Raw genomic sequence first — 19508 nt, forward strand, 5'->3', positions numbered from 1 at the left:
AATTTTATCACTGTATAACGCAATGCAAACATTAACCGTATCTTGTATTAATTACTGTAAGACTATCTCCTTCACTAAACGAGTGCCTCTTTGAAGAAAGGCGTGTCATCCTTGTTTCTTCAACAGCTAACATGTTATCAGGCATACAGATGATGCTCAGTAAGTGCTGGAATTATGGCACACTATATTTAACCTTCCTAGTATGTCATTAATACAGTGGGAAGTAGAATTACCATTTTCTTTCCGTAATCTTGTGATGAACTTCTTAGGGGGTATTACTCCAACCTTTTTCTTCTGAGTGGCTATGCTATGGAAGAGATCTGCTAAGCATGTAAGAAGGCTCTCCTTTTTCCTAGGTTGACTCTTATACGCAAGAACTTTTTCCCGAAATGGACGACAAAAATAAAGTGCTTGAAGAACTGAATTGCAGTAGCAGGTATTCCCAAACTGCAACAGAAAAAAAAAAGTTTTGTTAAATTTAGGGCAACACATTTTCAAGAGAGAAATTCCCGGTATATGGTTGAGAACAGAAAGAGATGACAATCGGTTACTACTGTTACTATAACACTGACTGCATTATATTATACATTTTAAAATACAACTCTCAAAAATTCTTTGGAAATCACAAAAGTAAAGTTTTCTATCAGGTTCTTAGGTACATCCAAATTAAAACACACAAAAACAAAAAATAAAAAAAACAAGATCCCCTGAAACGTTACATGAAAAAGTCACCAGTATGACAGTCTAGCAACCACTGAAATGCCAAGTCACAGTATTCATGATGTATTGGAAAGACATCAAATCCTTAACTATGAATTTCTCTCTTACCAGCCATGTCATTGGGGTATGTCACTACATCTTACTGAACTCTACTCCTCTCCACTCTAGTAATTGGGGCGAGACGGGGGAGGGGGCGGGCGGGGAAATAAACCTACTTTATAAAGTAAATGACACACAGTTTCATAAATATGTATTGCCTTCCTTTTCCCTTCCATTAATAAACACTGGCTCTAAAAGCTATAAAACAGCTAAAAGTCAGTCATGAAGATTTGGGGAGCACTATGAAACTATAAAAAAGGAATGAGGATAATTCTCATATTTCTACTATGGGGTGAAATCAAGTATATACAGTATTAGGTTAAAAAGGCTAGGCAGAGAAAAATGTTTAAGATTGGGTGATATCAAATGTATGTCCATAGACCATTTATTTTTTTTAAAAAAATGAGGAAGGATAAACAAAAAGCTAACAAAAATGTTTATAGGAGAAGAGGAAAAATAATGGAGAGATGGATAAAAATGAGACTTCTCTGAAAGAATGTTGTTATAAAACATTTACTTTGTACCCCCTATCTTTTCTAAAATAAAAAAGAAATGTCTAAAATTAAAAACAAAAATAAACAAAACCTAAATGTATATGGATTTAATGGTAGAAATAAAGAGAAATTAATTATTTCAGGTGACTTAAAGAATGTTTACCATACATGCCTAATGAGATATAGTCTAATCATTTTAAAAAACAAAAACAGCAACAACAAAAAATCTACTGGCCAGACGCAGTGGCTCACACCTGTAATCCCAGCACTTTGGGAGGCCGAGGCAGGCGGATCACTTGAGGTTAGAAGTTCGAGACCAACTTGATCAACATGGTGAAACCCCATCTCTACTAAAAATACAAAAATTAGCTAGGCATGATGACACATGCCTGTGATTCCAACTACTCAGGAGGCTGAGGTATGAGAATCGCTTGAACCTGGGAGGCGGAGGCTGCAGTGAGCCAAGATCGCACCACTGCACTCCGGCTTGGATGACAAAGTGAGACTCTGTCTCAAAAACAAACAAACAAAAAAAACAAATTTATTGATATTGTTATTTTGAAACTATTGTAGCTATATCATAGGACAAAGCAAACAAGGAATTATGTTAATACCCTTAGGAACCAAAATTTTTAATGTAAAGGAAAAAAAGATGCTATAATAAAAATCAGAAAAATAAAAGCCTTGTAAACTTCAGTTAGAAATATCAACATAAACTTATAACTCTGAAAATGTATGTCTGTGTGCATGCATGCATGTTTGTGTGTACGTGTTTTCAAATTCTGTCCACTGAAAAGGTGTGGCAGCAACAAGTTTCTCCTATACCCAGATTGTGTTCTCTAAACACCCTTTTCCCATCCAAAAGAACTCGGACACCTTGAAGATATGGCTGATACAAGATCTGCGATAAGAAATGTACAATGTGCCTTCTCAAAAGAAGACATTTATGCAGCCAAAAGACACATGAAAAAATGCTCATCATCACTGGCCATCAGAGAAATGCAAATCAAAACCACAATGAGATACCATCTCACACCAGTTGGAATGGCAATCATTAAAAAGTCAGGAAACAACAGGTGCTGGAGAGGATGTGGAGAAATAGGAACACTTTTACACTGTTGGTGGGACTGTAAACTAGTTCAACCATTGTGGAAGTCAGTGTGGTGATTCCTCAGGGATCTAGAACTAGAAATACCATTTGACCCAGCCATCCCATTACTGGGTATATACCCAAAGGACTACAAATCATGCTGCTATAAAGACACATGCACACATATGTTTATTGCGGCACTATTCACAATAGCAAAGACTTGGAACCAACCCAAATGTCCAACAATGATAGACTGGATTAAGAAAATGTGGCACATATACACCATGGAATACTATGCAGCCATAAAAAATGATGAGTTCATGTCCTTTGTAGGGACATGGATGAAATTGGAAATCATCATTCTCAGGAAACTATCGCAAGGACAAAAAACCAAACACCGCATGTTCTTACTCATAGATGGGAATTGAACAATGAGAACACATGGACAAAGGAAGGGGAACATCACACTCTGAGGACTGTTGTGGGGTGGGGGGAGAGGGGAGGGATAGCATTAGGAGATATACCTAATGCTAAATGAGGAGTTAATGGGTGCAGCACACCAGCATGGCACATGTATACATATGTAGCTAACCTGCACATTGTGCACATGTACCCTAAAACTTAAAGCATAAAAAAAAAAAAAGAAATGTACAATGTGCAAGATTAGCCTGGGATATCTTAAATATAAGTGTCAACTTTAATACAAAAGGATTACTGCAATGGACCAAAACACACCAACTATACAAAAATTCATAAATTTAAAATGACATTTTAGGCTGGGTACAATGGCTCATGCCTGTAATCCCAGCACTTTGGGAGGCCAAGGCAGGTGGATCAGTTGCGGTCAGGAGTTTAAGACTAGCCTGGCCAACATGGTGAAACCCTGTCTCTAACTGAAATTACAAAAATTAGCCGGGTGTGGTGGCACGCACCTATAATCCCAGCTACTCAGGAAGCTGGGGTGGTAGAGGCAGAGGTTGCAGTGAGCCAAGATGGTACCACTGTACTCGGGCTTGGGCGACAGAATGAGACTTTCTCCACAAAAAAAGATACATATGTGTGTGTGTGTGTATATACACATAATGACATTTTTTTAAAAAGCAGCCCTCTTTAGTCTCCATTGACAATTGCAAACTAATATATAAAAGGAAAAACATTCAAGATTCATCTTGCCTTTCTTATAAGAACCATATTTCAGGGGCACTAAACAGTTGATGAAGGAAGTTTCTGTTTATAAAATAAGTCCAGTGAATAAAATCAGAAGAAATGGTTGTAAATAATGGATTAAGCAATAATTATCAATGGATGCTCAAAGCATTAGGTTAAAAGTTGATGGGGATGTTTAAAACAGAGTGAACAGACCTAAACACCCCAGCGATTTCAGCATTGCTCAAGTGAACAACTGAATATTGTGTGTCTTTTAATATATCTTACCTCCTATGAAGTATTCTTGCCTTAAGCAAAATCACTAAACTTTAATCAAGTCTCTACGTGTAACTACTAATTTACAAGACAGTCAACAGTCAGGCAATGAAAGAGACAATACCACAAAGAAGGAAAAGGCCAAGTTTGAAATGGGAATAGTCTCTAGGACAGATGACCTAGTTTCTCCACAAATTGATGACTTGAAAAAAGGTTGAAAAGGACTCAAGAGACACAACAATCAAATTGCAAATGTAAATGCTGGAGTTTACTTAGATCCTGATTTACAAACCAACTATAAAAAGTCATCTTTGGCTGGGCGCAGTGGCTCAAGCCTGTAATCCCAGCACTTTGGGAGGCCGAGGTGGGTGGATTAAGGTCAGGAGCTCAAGACCAGCCTGGCCAACATGGTGAAACCCCGTCTCTACTAAAAATACAAAAACTAGCCGGGCGTTTTACTCCTGTAATCCCAGCTACTCGGGAGGCTGAGACAGGAGAATCGCTGGAACACGGGAGGCTGAGGTTGCAGTGAGCCGAGATGGTGCCGCCATTGCACTCCAGCCTGGGCGACACAGTGAGACTCTGTCTCCAAAAAAAAAAAAAAGTCATCTTTGAGACAAAAGAAGATACTTGAATCAATCCAATACCACTGCATTGGATGATATTAAGAAATTGTTGACTTTGTTAGGTGTGATCATTAGGTGATCATATTTTTTAAAACGTTCCTGCCACTTTGAGACATGTAATTAAACGTGTCCCATTTATGGCCAAAATGCCATGATGACTAGGATTTCCTTTTCCAGGTAAAAAAAAAAAAAAAAAAAGGATAAGTGGAAGAGAAGGAAAATATTGGTAATTGTTCAAGCTAGGTTGATGGGTTCATAGTGATTCATTATATTTACCTCTCCTACTCTAGCTTTTCAAAGGAGGTGTTTAATCTTTGAGGTAAATTGTATAATCATGTCATTATGTGTCACAATCATTGCAAATAAAGGACCTAACCAGATAAGTTCATAGGGAAGACAGACACTAGGCAGAGCCAATAATTTGAGGGGATAAAACAAAGCTCTGCTATGTTCAATCTCCTAATTGTCTGAATATGTTTCTTTTTTTCCACAGAGATTAAACAAATAAGATCCCTCTGCCCCACTGAAACAGGAGTTACCAACTTTTTGAAGAGGCTTGTGAGATCCAACCCCTCTCCAGCTGAGGACCTGAGACCTAGTGAGGACAATGACTTCTCATATCTACACTGCTAGTAGGAGACAAGCACTGGTTTCAGAAAAAGAGGCGCTTAAGCTTAAGAGGTATGTGATTAAAGCGTACTGATATCAATGATCATAAATGTAACTACAGATACACTTCAATGAACCCTACCCAGGGGTTAAGTACAACTGAATGTTACTAAGATTAATTTACCCAGTATCCAGTATAAATCTGTCTTTAAAATTGTATTTGTACTACAATCTAATCAAGCTAACGACCAACAAATCTGGTTATATCAATTGAAGAGAAGATACAATCTCCATATTTTGGAATAGGCAACAGGGGAATTGAACAACTTCCACCGAGCAGGGAGATGAAAGCAAAAGAGATCATCTCCAAGTATACCAGAAATATTATGATAATGAGGATTGACCTATCTATAAAAAATATGAGAAGCAAATAGGATAGGCTAAAAAACTAGAGGGAGTCTCTATTTTGTAGACTACTGGAAGTCAGGCTCACACTTCTGTCCAACATGACTTGCTCATCTTCTGAATATAAAGCAACAGTAATATTATAATCAATTCTCTGAGGCCTGCCATTAGTCTTCTTTTATTTACTTTCATCAATCCCATTAAAGAAAAATTAAAAGGTTGAAAATACTACTCTTTCTCCAGAATAAGCTGACTTTCAATCTTTTTAATAATTTTGAAACTTTTCCTTCAATTTTCTTGATTTTTAATATTAACTTTCATTCAAGGTCCTAAGACCTAAAAATTATCTTTCAAGAGTAGAGCCTTCATGCAAAAGGTTTTCTGGGATGATTTTCTCTATATTCTTGTTTGTGAATGCTCAATTTCTTAAAAAACAAAAAAACATTGCTTTAGTGCTGAAATCTATGCTGTGTTATCTCAGCTGGTTTTGAAAATCAAAGGTAGGTTTAAATTAGGGAGAAGAAATTTTAAAAGTTGCCACCCTACTCGAGGTCTTATCATTGATTTTTTGATTGCTTAGTGAATACAATCTCATTCTTGCTTTCAAAGAGCTTTCTCTAATGCCTTCTTCTCCAAACCTTAACAAACATCCCACCGCAAGTATTTTTTATATACCTACTACTAAGACCATTTTGAGCGCACATCCCTTACACATTTATAAATTATACATACTATGTATATTAAAAATGTAAAGGAATGCAATTAAGAAAATGCACATTTTAGATGTTTGTCTTATTTATTACACACTATTATTTTCATGAAAAATTATTAGTCTTAAGTGAGAGCAATGAGATTGAGTATTTTTGTAAAGGCTTTAGATTTTAAAACAGCAATTTGATAGTCTGTGATGTTCAGTTATTTGGATATGTGGTTTTAATGGCTATCAAAACTGAAAAAGATACCTTCCTAAAGATACATAGGTGCAAGGGAATGAGAGTCTCACTACCTACCTTTACTTTTTAAATCATGGTATCCAATTTGTAGTCTTATCTACCAAATTAGTTTGAATACATTTAGGAAATGCCTGCCTTGAGAGCCCCACAGCACAGTAATGAAGCACATAAGATCTGAAACCAAACTGTCTAGGTTCAAGTCTGGTTCCACTATCTGACCTTGGGAAATTACTAAACTGTTGTTTACCAGTTTCTTCACCTGCAAAAAGGGGGTAATACAGCACCTACCTCTTAGAATTTCTTAAATAATTAAATGAATCATCACATAAAACACTCAGAACAGTTACTGGCCCTTCATCATTTCATAGCTACTTTTTTTTTTTTTTTCCTGAGACAGTGTCTTACTGTCACCCAGGCTGGGGTGCAGTGGTATGATCATGGCTCACTGCAGCCTCAACCTCCTGGACTCAAGATCCTCCCACCTCAGTCTGTGGAGTAACTGGGACCTCAGGCACTCAGGCATGCAAAATGCTCCCAGCATTTTTTTTTTTTTAAGAGACAGGGTCTCACTCTGTTGCCCAGGCTGGTCTCAGATTTCTGGGCTCAAAGCAATCCTCTCGTCTTGGCCTCCCAAAGTGCTGGGATTAAAAGCATGAGCCACTGTGGCCAGCCAATAATAACTTTTAAAACAACCTTTTAAGTTAACTAAAATTCAATCATATAATTCTCTAAAACTACATTTAAATTATAATAGATCTGCCACAGCAGAAACAAATGAGAGAGATGATGCCATCAACCCTTTGACATCATGGAACTTGAAATAACATACAACCATATCATATACAGATAGAGTATAGGCACCAGTCTCATCCATATGTTAAGAATAATGCTTAGTCTACCATTTTTAGATAAAAATAAACATCAGAAATGCTAATATTTTCTTCCTATTCCCAATGGATCATCTTACACACTTCATTTGGAGACTACTAGTTTTAACCACCATAATGTCAATAGCATTACTTTGTTTAAATACTGAGGCTAGGCACAATGGCTCATGCCTGTAATCCCAGCACTTTGGGAGGCTGAGGCAGGAGGATCGCTTGAGACCAGGGATTCAACACCAGCATGGGCAATATAGTGAGACCCCATCTCTACAAAAACCTTAAAAAATTAGCTGAGCATGGTGGTGTGCACCTGTAGTCCCAGCTACTCAGGAGGTAAAGGCAGGAGGACGGCTTGAGCCAAGAAGGTGAAGCTGCAGTGAGCCAGGGAGGCGAAACTGCAGTGAGCCATGATCACTCACTGCACTCCAGCCTGGGTGACAGAGCAAGACCCTTTCTCAAAACAAAAACAAAAACAAACAAACAAACAAACAAAAAACCCAGACAAATAAAAAATAAAAATGTTGAAAAGGAACCGTTTTTGAAGAAGCACAACTTCTTCCCTGTCCCCCATGCTGGGCCTGGGTGATGGTGCCTGTTCTGTGAACATGCTAAGATGTTCTAAGGGAATGCCCTCTTGCACCAACCAGTTCTTGTTTAGGTGACATTTTAGAACATTGTATTTCCACATCCCCCTACCCACCACGCTTCTTACTCCAGCAGAGTAGACCAGACATTGAGTACCTCACCCAGAAGTCATCTTTTCATACTCCAATGGACGTCAGTTCCTCACCCTATGTTCTTACTCCACTGCCCCATGCTTCCTTGTAGGAACTGCTTTCTCTTCTCTATGCAAATTACTGTCGTGTTATCAATCAAAGCCCTTTTACAGCCCCTAAAACAGGGCTGGACGCTTGGTACAGTCTAGGCAGAGGACCTGGGCCAGAGCTCTTTTCCCAGGTTTGATATGGATATTTTCTGGACTCTCCAACAATGTAAACCTCAAGTAACCTATGGCCATCAGATGAGGAGAAACTGAATGAGAATGAAATCAATACAAAAGAAAAGAGAACCAAGAGACATTTGCCTAATGAACTTTATAACCCAAAAATGGAAAGTTTCATTTTTATTTATTTCTATAATGGACCCTGCTCCAACTAATGACTAGTAGCAATTCAGGTTAAATAGCTTTTTATATGACAGATTAGAAATGCAATCATAATTTTATAATAAAGATTCTGAAGGGAAAGCACATTTCTTTTTTTGTTATTTTTAAAACAAACAACCTAAAACCTTAGAAGACAGGAAAAGCATATTTCACAGTACCCTCACAAATGGACTTACTGAGGCCAGGCTACTTGTGTGTTGAGGCCTACCTGTATTAGAAAATTAATAAAGAACCATACAATAAAACAATGAAAAAAAAGCTATTCAAAAAAATGCACAGACTATATTACAAGTAAGAAAGATACACTAAATTGTGGTTTAAATCACTCTCTATCAGCTCTACTAAAATAAGTACTAACCAGCTACAATATAAAAGGAAAAAAGGCAATTTATCAGGTTAAAACAACTTGTTATCTAAGAATTTTGCTGACTATCTAACAGCTGGCCTGTAAGTGGGATACTTTACAGCAAAAGAAAGCTTCCAAAGGCTCCTTTCCCCATCCAAAGGTCCTCAAGCTACACTAGTATTTCTCCTCTCTACTTCCAATAATATCAGGAATAGCATTGTATCTACAGGAGATAAGCTGAGAGGAAATCCTCATTCTATGTATTATACAAATTATAGTGACAGGTAATTAAGAGTAAGCTGCCATAAGAGCCATTATCTGTGACAATATTCTTCTGAGACAAAAATATCTGCAACTGAAAGTAACAGAAAACAGGTTGTCATTAAAGCACTAAGAGCAACTACTCTGTTTAATTTTCTGCTAGGTTAATCTGTGGGTATTTTCCTCCTCTCCATTTTTAAAAAAAAAAAAAAAACAAACTTGAGCAATATAGCAAGATCCCATCTCTACAAATAAATTTTTTAAAAATTAGACAGGCATGGTGGTGTGTGCCTGTGGTCCCAGCTACTCGGGAGGCTAAGGCAGGATTGCCTGAGCCCAGGAGGTGAAGGCTGCAGTGAGCTGTGATGGCACCACCACACTCCAGCCTGCTGCATGGAATTAACCACTCTACTAGCTCTGCTGCATCTACTCTGACCACAGTTTTATTTCTGAGCATAATTCACAATGTTCACCAACCTTTAATAGTTGGAGCTGTGGCCCCTGTAGATATGTTAATTTTATATATAATAACAAGACACAGAGACCAGAAGCTTATATTTCTACTGATCAAATGAATCTCTCCAGGGGATAAAGACAAAGCGTCCTCTGATGGTCTCTTAGTAAGTTTCTCTCCTGCTTGTCTTAATTTTATTGTTGAGAATTCTAACTGAAATGCTGTTTTTTAAATTAGAATATAAGGCTAAATTCCAGAAAAAAATAAGTGAGAGGAGTAATGAGTAGCCTGTTCTGGAGAGAGAGAAAGGTAAGGGAGTGCTGATTCTTTGTTATAGGTTTTATGCATAGTGCACAGAGACATTCCCAAAGCACAGGGAATCACACACATCACTTCAACCGCTTTCCTCAAATCCATGAGAAACCCATCTAATATGTCCTATGTAGGGACTAATATTTAGAGTCCACCAATCTGTTCAATATAACTTACTGTGTTACCTATTTTATCAATATATGCATTTTAAAACACCTGCCATGGATTCACCTAATAGTACAGTACAACAGTATAAAATAAACTACCACAACAATTATATAGCACAAGTTTGTGATACTCCCCAGTGACTCAGAACAGGTAACATTCAGGTAAAACTTCTCAAATTTTCCCAAAGTTTTAAAAACGTGTAATTACTAGAATTACCTCCATAAGAACTGGGATGTGCTTTTTCCCCACATTTCACACTTTTATATCTCTAGCACTGGTACAATGAGAGAAGTAAATTGTCAAATACCCCACAGACACATGGAGGCATTTGCACAGCTAAATGTATACTTGTACATTTGTACCATTTAATCAAGTAAATCATTCTCAAAGAATCAAGAGATCACTTAGACTAGGCTATATATTAATACTAAATTTTGGCTATGAGAAATTTCTGACAAAATAGGGATGATCAGATTGACAAGTTAGAAACTATCTATCTCCAAGATTTTAAGATGTCAGGCAACTGGCTGGGTGTGGTGGCTCACGCCTCTAATCCCAGCACTTTAGGAGGCTGAGGTTGGCGGATCATGAGGTCAGGAGATCGAGACCATCCTGGCTAACACGGTGAAACCCTGTCTCTACTAAAAATACAAAAAATTAGTCAGGCATGGTGGCAGGCGCCTGTAGTCCCAGCTACTCGGGAGGCTGAGGCAGGAGAATGGCGTGAACCCGGGAGGCAGACGTTGCAGTGAGCCGAGATCGCGCCACTGCACTCCAGCCTGGGCGACAGAGCAAGACGCTGTCTCAAAAAAAAAAAAAAAAAAAAAAGATGTCAGGCAACTTTGTTTCCCTTCCCTTAAAGATCATTTCAAAATTCCCAATCAAGTCTCTTAGCATTTAATTCTATTAATAGAAAAGAACAATTTTCCTTTAATAACTTATGGAATGCATTCATCGTTTTTAAAACTGCTTCCGAACATGATTCTAAAAGCGTATCAATGGATACTTACATTGACTAATCCAAAATAGTGCTCATTGACCGGAAACTGTTCTGGACCAATCTCTTTCTCTAATGCCGAAGCATTGGCGCCCTATAAAATGAAAAACAAAAATCTTAGTATTTATAGTAGTCATGCACCACATAATGACACTTCAGTCAATGACAGGCCGCAACATGATGGTCCTATCACATTACGATGGAGCTGCCCTACACAGGTGCGTCTTTATCCTTTACACCGTATTTTTAGCTGTACCTTTCTTACGTTTAGATATGTTCAGATGCACACTTATTCCTGTGTTACGATTGCCTAGAAAATACAGGAACATGCTGTATAGGTTTGTGGCCTTCGAGCAACAGGCTCTACCATCTAGCCTAGGTGTGCAGTAGGCTCTACCACCTAGGTTTATGTAAGAACGCTCTGATGTTCGCATGCACAATGACGAAATGGCCTAACGATACATTTCTCACACCATATCCCCATCGTTACACATGATCGTATTTTCATAATATTGTCACAATTACACAGGTGTTACAGAGACACCCTGTAAAAAAAACTATCTGTGATCCCTATTGCTACCTAACACAAAGAAAAGAAAAAGGAGAAAAGAAAGAATGATATTGAAGAGTAAAGGCTTTTGATAATGACTAAAAATTCGTTTATAGGAACTTTCTTCTCACAGAACCAAAGCCTGGATCAAGGAATTACATTCATAACATGTTCTTTTTTTCTAAGTAATGAATGAAATTTCCTGCTGTATCATGTACTCTAACAGGAGTGTAATCTGATAGCACACATCTCTCAGAGCTGAAGTTCTGTGAAACTAAATATAAATATGCACATGCTCAGTGGCCTAGGAATTCTGAAGTATAAACCTGAAATTCTTACACAGAACTGAAGTTGACAAGAATGTTTACTGCAGTATCATTTATGATTGCAGCTGACAGCAGTCTAGATGGGCCATTGTTAGGGAAATAGATACATAAAATGTGACAGCATACTACATAGGAGAGCCAGAATAAATAAACTAGGTTTACACACAGAAACATGAGTATCTCAAAAACACAATGTTAAATGAAAAAAAGAAAAATTAGATTAACATAAAACACCAACGTGTGTGTGTGTTTAATAGCACACGGAAAGCAGACCGAAGAATGTATATTAAATATACTATATACCTGAGTGAGTGCTGGAAGAGGGATGGACCATGGAATTGGGAATGGGGCAAAGGAGAAAAAACAAAATTCAAGAAACAAGGACCTCGCACAGACAATCATAGCGTGTCACAGTTTCAAGAACGTGATCAACTCAATTCTGTGCACCTGTGGTCCCCGACGACCATGTGAAAGGGAGGGGGAGAAATGTGGCCCTGAGCACCATGGTGGGGGATGACACACAAGCAGATACAACTAAACAGATTCTAAAATGTAGTTTGAAAGGGAAATAAAAGCAATTCTGTTAATATAACTCTGAATATGTTTACCTTGAAAATTCCCGGGAAAACATACTAGATAAATATAACTGCCGGGACATTGCTCAAAAAATATCAAAATGTCACAGTGAAGAGCTGCAGAGACAACATGCCTCTTCAGCTACACTGGGCATATGGTCAACAACGCACCAGTACTCAGAATCCCACACCTGCTGCTTCCTTTCCGCATGAGACTCCTAAATCTGGGAAGCCCAGAACCTTTGTTAGACATGCATCTTCAATTTCCTGACAGCTCTAGGCTGAAAAGGGGACTGATAAAGGCACATGGTGAGTTGGCAGTCAAGTTCCACCAAAACAAGACGTTTCTTCTATTATCTTCCAGCCAACCAGCACTTCTATATACATGATACTGTCTTTATTTTTTTGACTTGGGAATCAATTTTAAGTTTTATATAAAACCTTAATACCATCACTAGTTAATAGATATCATTTATTTCTAAATTTGGATAGCAATATGTCATAACAATACCAAATTCAATTATTACAGCAACTTCACAATCCACTAAAAATTGATGGGAATATTGCAAGCCCTACTACCCCTCACCCTGCCAGCTCAAGTACTTTGTCACAGAAGTCCCTGACATATGTTGAAAATAACCAACAAACCCAGGTTTTTACCACCTGTTGTAAAAATTCAAACTGATACTGGCTTATTCAAATGAGTATAATCCTTTCCCCCGACCAAAACAGAAGAAAAGGTGCCATCAACCAAAATACAACCTCAAATACTTACCCATCTAGAACAATAAAATACCAGTCCATACACCTTAGGAAGGCATTTCTGGCCTTTAAGACACACTAAGAACAAGGTAACAGGTGAAGGTTATCTCTCTACTGTTAGCCGAATCACATGCCACTCGCCTTGTATTCTAACCACCCCACATGTCCACCTGTCACCATATGTACCACATACTTTCATGCCTGCTTAGTAAGCTCTTCTCCCACTCCCTTGTCCTCACAGTAGTTTCAACTATGGGTCAGGTATTGTCTCTCTCTGCCTCAGTTTCCCAACTGTTAAAGAAAAATGTTAGCAACTACTTTATAGGGTGACTATAACAGAATTTTAACTTTTCTAAGGCAGCTGGTGGCGCCTGGCACACAAGCAGGTGTCCAATAAATGTTGGTCCTCTTCTTACCCTTCCCTTCAAACAAAAAGAAAATAAACTAGTCACAGTAATACATCTTTTCTGCTCCGTGCAAAAGCTAAGAAATGACAAGAGAAAAATCAGAAGACAAAACAAGACAGCTATAATACAAAAAAATAGATACTCTCCTTAGTTTGGCAGACAAGAGCCAATTCCATGAAGCGGCCCCCAGAGGTATCATCACTGTACTCCCCCACACGGCCTAACAACAAAGCAGAACCATAATCCAATTCAGAAGTCTGAGGACAGCAGGCCAAGAGGAGTAAGGTGGAAAGAGCTGTAGATCATCATCGTTTAACCCTTCTGGATTTAAGAATCTTCACTTGCAAAATAAAAGGGGTCAGAATCCTCAGTGATTTTCAAAACTCCCAGTTCCAAATTTATCTGTTGGGTTTTCAAGTAAGGCTTTACATGAACTAAGATTTTCATGGCTAAAACTATTCAGAAAATTAAAAGATTATGTGATTTCTAAAATCCCTTCTCACTCAACATTCTATCGTTTCCGATCACTTTCATGAATGCTTCTGAAGACATTACTGTTTTAACACAAAACTCCAGGGAAGTCTAAGACAACCAATATATGCCAAGCCCACAATTCAACAGCTTGAAGAATGATGGCTAGGACAGACTGACGGTAGCAGATCGAAATGAGAAGTACAAAGAAAGAAGAGCACTCACCTTATTACAGTTCTAAAGTAAGGCATAGCACCATAAACTATGCCTTCCTGTGGTAATGACACTGCGCAGCAGATTCTGCAGATGCAGGAGAAGCATGCTTATTGCATGCATTCAAGGTTTTCCTTAACAGAAATGATCAGGGTACACTCCTCTCTCTAGCCTAACGCTAACTAAAAAGGCAAAAGATTATACTAAGCAACTGGTTTCTGCTAAGTTGTTTTTAAATTTAACAGTGTTTTCAACACCAAAGTTAGATATAACTGGTGAAAAACCAACTGGAAAGTCAAAATTTTACTGTATGATTGTTACCATCTTTAAGACATTCCTGAAGGATTTTGTTGAAGGCTGACAAATTCTATTACATCACATAATGGTCACATAATCACCCAAAAATTTAAAGTGAGCCTAGAAAAAGTAAACATTCAATAATAATAGCTCCATTCCCACATTTGAGAAGTACGACCCTATCAAAACTAACAATAGCTTTTATGAAATCAGTGATTCTTTACTGGGATAAAGAGAAGGCGTGATGGTGAGTTAAGTTCTGCTCCAGGCCAGGCACAGTAGCTCACGCCTGTAATCCCAACACTTTGAGACGATGAGGCAGGTGGATCTCCTAAGATCAGGAGTTCGAGACCAGCCTGGCCAACATGGTGAAACCCCATCTCTATTAAAAATACAAAAAATTAGTCAGGGGTGGTCGTGGGCGCCTGTAATTCCAGCTATTCAGGAGGCTGAGGCTGCAGTGAGTCAAGATTGCGCCACTGCACTCCAGCCTAGGCAACAAGAGCAAAACTCCATCTAAAAAAAAAAAAAAAAGTTCTGCTCTGGAGCCTTCATAGGTATCAGAATTAATTTATTTTTGTCTGAGCACATGACATACACAAATGGAAGAAGACATTTTTTTCTGACTTCTGTCCCCATTTTTGTAACTTAGGCAAAAGATTAGACTTAGTACCCTTACTATAGAATTCATCATGAAGAAGTAATGAGATACTCAGGCCCTTCTGATGAAAACAACCAAAAGATGGGTGAAATTTAAAAAATAATAATTAACTGAGCTAGTGATAAAATAATCTGCAGAAATCAAAAAACAAAAGTGATGGGGGAACTACGAGAGATAAGCAAACACCAAAGACTTCCCACTGCTGGTATTTCCTGACCCTAGTGACCTTTAAATTCTCTTCTAACAGCTGAATGGAACGGTATGCAGGAAACAGATGCTAAAACTTAGGGTCCACTCAAGACAGGGAGGACAACAGGAGAGATGAGCATGAAGCCGAGATCTCTAAAGGGTTTCTCTTCAATGCATAAGGGAACCAGTAATAATCCCATACCACAAGAAACAGCAAGATAACTTGCTTGACTTGTCCTTGGCACTTAGGAGTAGAGACAGGGAGAAAGGAGAAACATCTTCCCAAAATTCATAACCATAACTAGGCCCTCGTAAAAGTCTGTGACCCAAATTTCCACTGACTATGTGATCTTAAAAAAAAAAAAAAAACCTCAGTAGAGAATTCAAAGAAATCCTAAATTGAGAGTGCCCTCCTTCCACCTCTTCCACTCCACAAAAGGCAGAATTACAAATTCGCTCTGGAATGAGACAAATTCAATCCACCCACGAAGAATTCCTACAAATACAAGCCAAGAGATTTGAGTTCATAAGTCAAAAATTACAAAAACACACAGGAAAAGAAAGCCCCATGAATAAGAGCCCCATGAAGAAATGCAGACAGCAGAATGAAACTCAAGAAGATATTAAGGCAGGCGTGGTGGCTCATGCTTGTAATCCCAGCACTTTGGGAGGCCGAGGCAGGTGGATCACGAGGTCAGGAAATCGAGACCATCCTGGCTAACACGGTGAAACCCCGTCTCTACTAAAAATACAAAAAATTAGGTGGGCATGGTGGCAGGCACCTGTAGTCCCAGCTACTCAGGAGGCTGAAGCAGGAGAATGGCGCGAACCTGGGAGGCAGAGCTTGCAGTGAGCCGAGATCATGCCACTGCACTCCAGCCTGGGAGACAGAGCGAGACTCTGTCTCAAAAAAAAAAATTAAATACCAGAATTAACAGACACAGGATGTAAAACAAATGTCTCATATGTGTCAAGAAATGGCAATGAATTGATTATAAGAACAAAGATGAGACTCTAAGCAGACTTTTAAAAAGAACTAAATACAACTTCAAAATATAAAAGTTGGAAAAGCTGAAGTAAAAACTCAATGGTGTGGCCAGGCATGGTGGCTCGTGCCTGTAATCCCAGCACTTTGGGGAGGCTAAGGCAGGTGGACTCAGGAGTTCAAGACCAACCTGGGCAACATGGCGAAACCCCGTGATATGGTTTGGCTCTGTGTCCCCACACAAATCTCACCTTGAACTGTACTTCCATAGGAACCTGGTAAGAAATAATTTGAATCATCAGGGTGGTTCCCCCATACTGTTCTCGTGGTAGTGAATACGTTTCATGAGAACTGGTTTTAACTGGGGTTTCTGTTTTTGCATCTTTCTCTTGCCACCGCCCTGTAAGAAGTGCCTTTCACCTCCTCCCATGATTCTGAGCCCTCCCCAGCCATGTGGAACTGTAAGTCCAACTAAAACTCTTTTTCTTCACGGTCTTGGGTACATCTTTATTGGCAGTGTGGAAACGGACTAATACACCCCATCTTTACCGAAAATACAAAAAACTAGCCAGGCATGGTGGCATGCACCTGTAGTCCCAACTACTTGGGAGACTGAGATGCAAGGTTCACATGAGCCTGGGAAGTGGAAGCTGCAGTGAGCCGGGAGTGTGCCACTACACCCCAGCCTGGATGACAGAGTGAGACCCCATCTCAAAATAAATAAATAAATAAATAAATATTTAAGTAAAAAAATTTTAATGGGTGTGCTTAAGAACTAAACAAGGTTAATATCAGATAGTACTTTTTAGCCAATATTCCTGTCAATGTAAGGTTATTAATGAAAACTCAAGTTTCGTTAAAAACAGGAAACGTGGCCAGGCGCGGTGGCTCATGTCTGTAATCCCAGCACTTTGGGAGGCCGAGGCAGGCAGATCAAGAGGTCAGGAGATTGAGACCATCCTGGCTAACATGGTGAAACCCCGTCTCTACTAAAAATACAAAAAAATTAGCCAGGCCTGGTGGCAGGCGCCTAGTCCCAGCTACTTGGGAGGCTGAGGCAGGAGAATGGCGTGAACCTGGGAGGCGGAGCTTGCAGTGAGCCGAGATCGCACCACTGCACTCCAGCCTGGATGACAGAGTGAGAGTCCATCTCAAAAAAAAAAAAAAATATTTTACAGAGAAGATTTCATGGGAGAATGGATTCATTACAGAACTGCTGTAGAGAGACCATGGTATACTACAAGTATCATTGAACTAGCAAAGCTACAGACTTGAGTCTGGTCTTGGCCATGACATTAAATTATAAATGACCTGTAACAAATCATTCTTTCCAGACCTCAGTTTCCTCAGATGTAAAACTTCTGTCTATAGTACCTTCCATCCCCACATTTTTAGCAACATATGAATTTATCAGCTCTTCCAATTTCATTAAAACATTAAATATACAATGTTGGATAGTCTATTAAAAGTCAAACATTAACAAAGTCCTGAATGAGTTAGGAAATAGCATCATATCCTCAACAATAGCCATCCAATACTAAGAATTTGTAGGCTGATATAGTTTGGCTGTGTCCCCACCCAAATCTCATCTTGAATTGTAGCTCTCATAATTCCCACGTGTCGTGGCAGAGACCCAGTAGGAGGTAACTGAATCAAAGGCATGGGTCTTCCCATGCTCTTCTTGTGATAGTGAATAAGTCTCATGAGATCTGATGATTTTACAAAGGGCAGTTCCCCTGCACACGCTCTCTTGCCTGCCGCCATGTAAGACATGCCTTTGCTGATCTTCTGCATTCCACTATGATTTTGAGGCCTCCCCAGCCATGTGGAAATGAGAGTCCATTAAACCTCTTTTTCTTTATAAATTACCCAGTCTCAGGTATTTCTTCACAACAGTATGAAAATGGACTAATACATAGGCAATGGGGCAAGTATCTCCTTTAACTTACCTAGTATGAATTCTTGAAAAGATGAGGTCTTGTCCTTTTCACACCCAGAAATCACCATCCAAGTGAAATAATAATAGGTTGAAATTACAAAGATACCTTTGACCTATTATTTTGATAATATAAAAGTAACTATATATTAAATGTGTGAGCAACCCAAAAATATCTGCAAATAGGAAAAAAATAATCTGGGAGATGGCTATCCTGCAATTAAATAATTTTTACATAGTCAATCATGGAAAACATACAACTAACTACCTTTCACTCCTTTCACTCTGCCATTATGAAAAAGATAAAAATCACACAAAAGTAAACTAACAACCAGGAATGTTTTCAAGAAAACAATTCAATCTGGAATTAATGTAATTCCTTAACTTAAAAATCTCCTGGCCCACAATATCTACATCTAAAACCAGATTATGGCTAAAAAATGGTGTCTATGAGGATATGTCATTTTGAAAAGTTATATTCAGTATATACTATTTTATAAAGTAGAGAACAATACACCTTACCAAGAAATTAAAAATGATGAAAACATAAAAGAATGTGCATCTATCATTTGGAAAATGTATTTAAATAGCCAAACTATTAGTTTCCACACAACTTTAATATAAATAAAGAGAAAATTCAATACACTGTTCCAGTTTCATGTTTCAAGTCATATTTTAGAATGCAGCATGTATCATTTTAAGTTAGATCAGGTCAGTACACAAAGGAGAACCGCCAAATCAGGCAGGAAAAGCTTCCCAGAGGTGGGAAAAGCACGTGACCTGGTAAAATAAGAAAAGTTCTGGAGGCACAGGAAGCAGCCCATGTGACGGTGTGAAGGTATAAACACAACAAAGAAGTGAATGTGAGCTGTAAAAAGATGAATCCAAAGTATAAAGGTGAAACAAGTTCATCTCATAAATGAGAAAGGGCGAAGAGTCAAAGAGAAGGCTTAACCCTCATACCTGTTCTAGAAAACACCATGTGCCCAGAAACTGAATCAAAGGCAATGAGAATATTTATGACAAAACACATTATACAATGAGTTTGAGGAATCATAAAAAGAGTATCAAAGTAGTAGGCCTTGGGTTATGTGAAATTCAGTATCTGACTACCTGTGTTCTCTCTAGCCC

General features: G+C 38.5%; 1 protein-coding gene across 2 annotated transcripts in view, besides 1 other annotated feature; it reads right to left on the bottom strand.

Annotated features, from left to right (window-relative positions):
* Positions 1-19508, bottom strand: part of USP12 (ubiquitin specific peptidase 12) — a 105656-nt gene that overhangs the window by 39342 nt on the left and 46806 nt on the right. For both annotated transcript variants that reach the window (XM_005266282.3, NM_182488.4), the window contains exons 2-3: positions 11019-11099; positions 234-447 (exon numbers count right to left, since the gene is read on the bottom strand). In XM_005266282.3, the coding sequence (XP_005266339.1) occupies positions 234-447; positions 11019-11099 (295 nt within the window). The remainder of the gene's footprint in view (positions 1-233; positions 448-11018; positions 11100-19508) is intronic.
* Positions 13032-13151: an enhancer, noted in NCBI's record as "active region_7496". NCBI's record gives its function as "activates an Ori minimal core promoter by ATAC-STARR-seq in GM12878 lymphoblastoid cells {active_cell/tissue: GM12878}" and the evidence as "EXISTENCE:reporter gene assay evidence [ECO:0000049][PMID:35858748]".

The sequence above is a fragment of the Homo sapiens genome, chromosome 13 (assembly GCF_000001405.40).
Source record: "Homo sapiens chromosome 13, GRCh38.p14 Primary Assembly".
Classification (NCBI taxonomy): domain Eukaryota; kingdom Metazoa; phylum Chordata; class Mammalia; order Primates; family Hominidae; genus Homo; species Homo sapiens.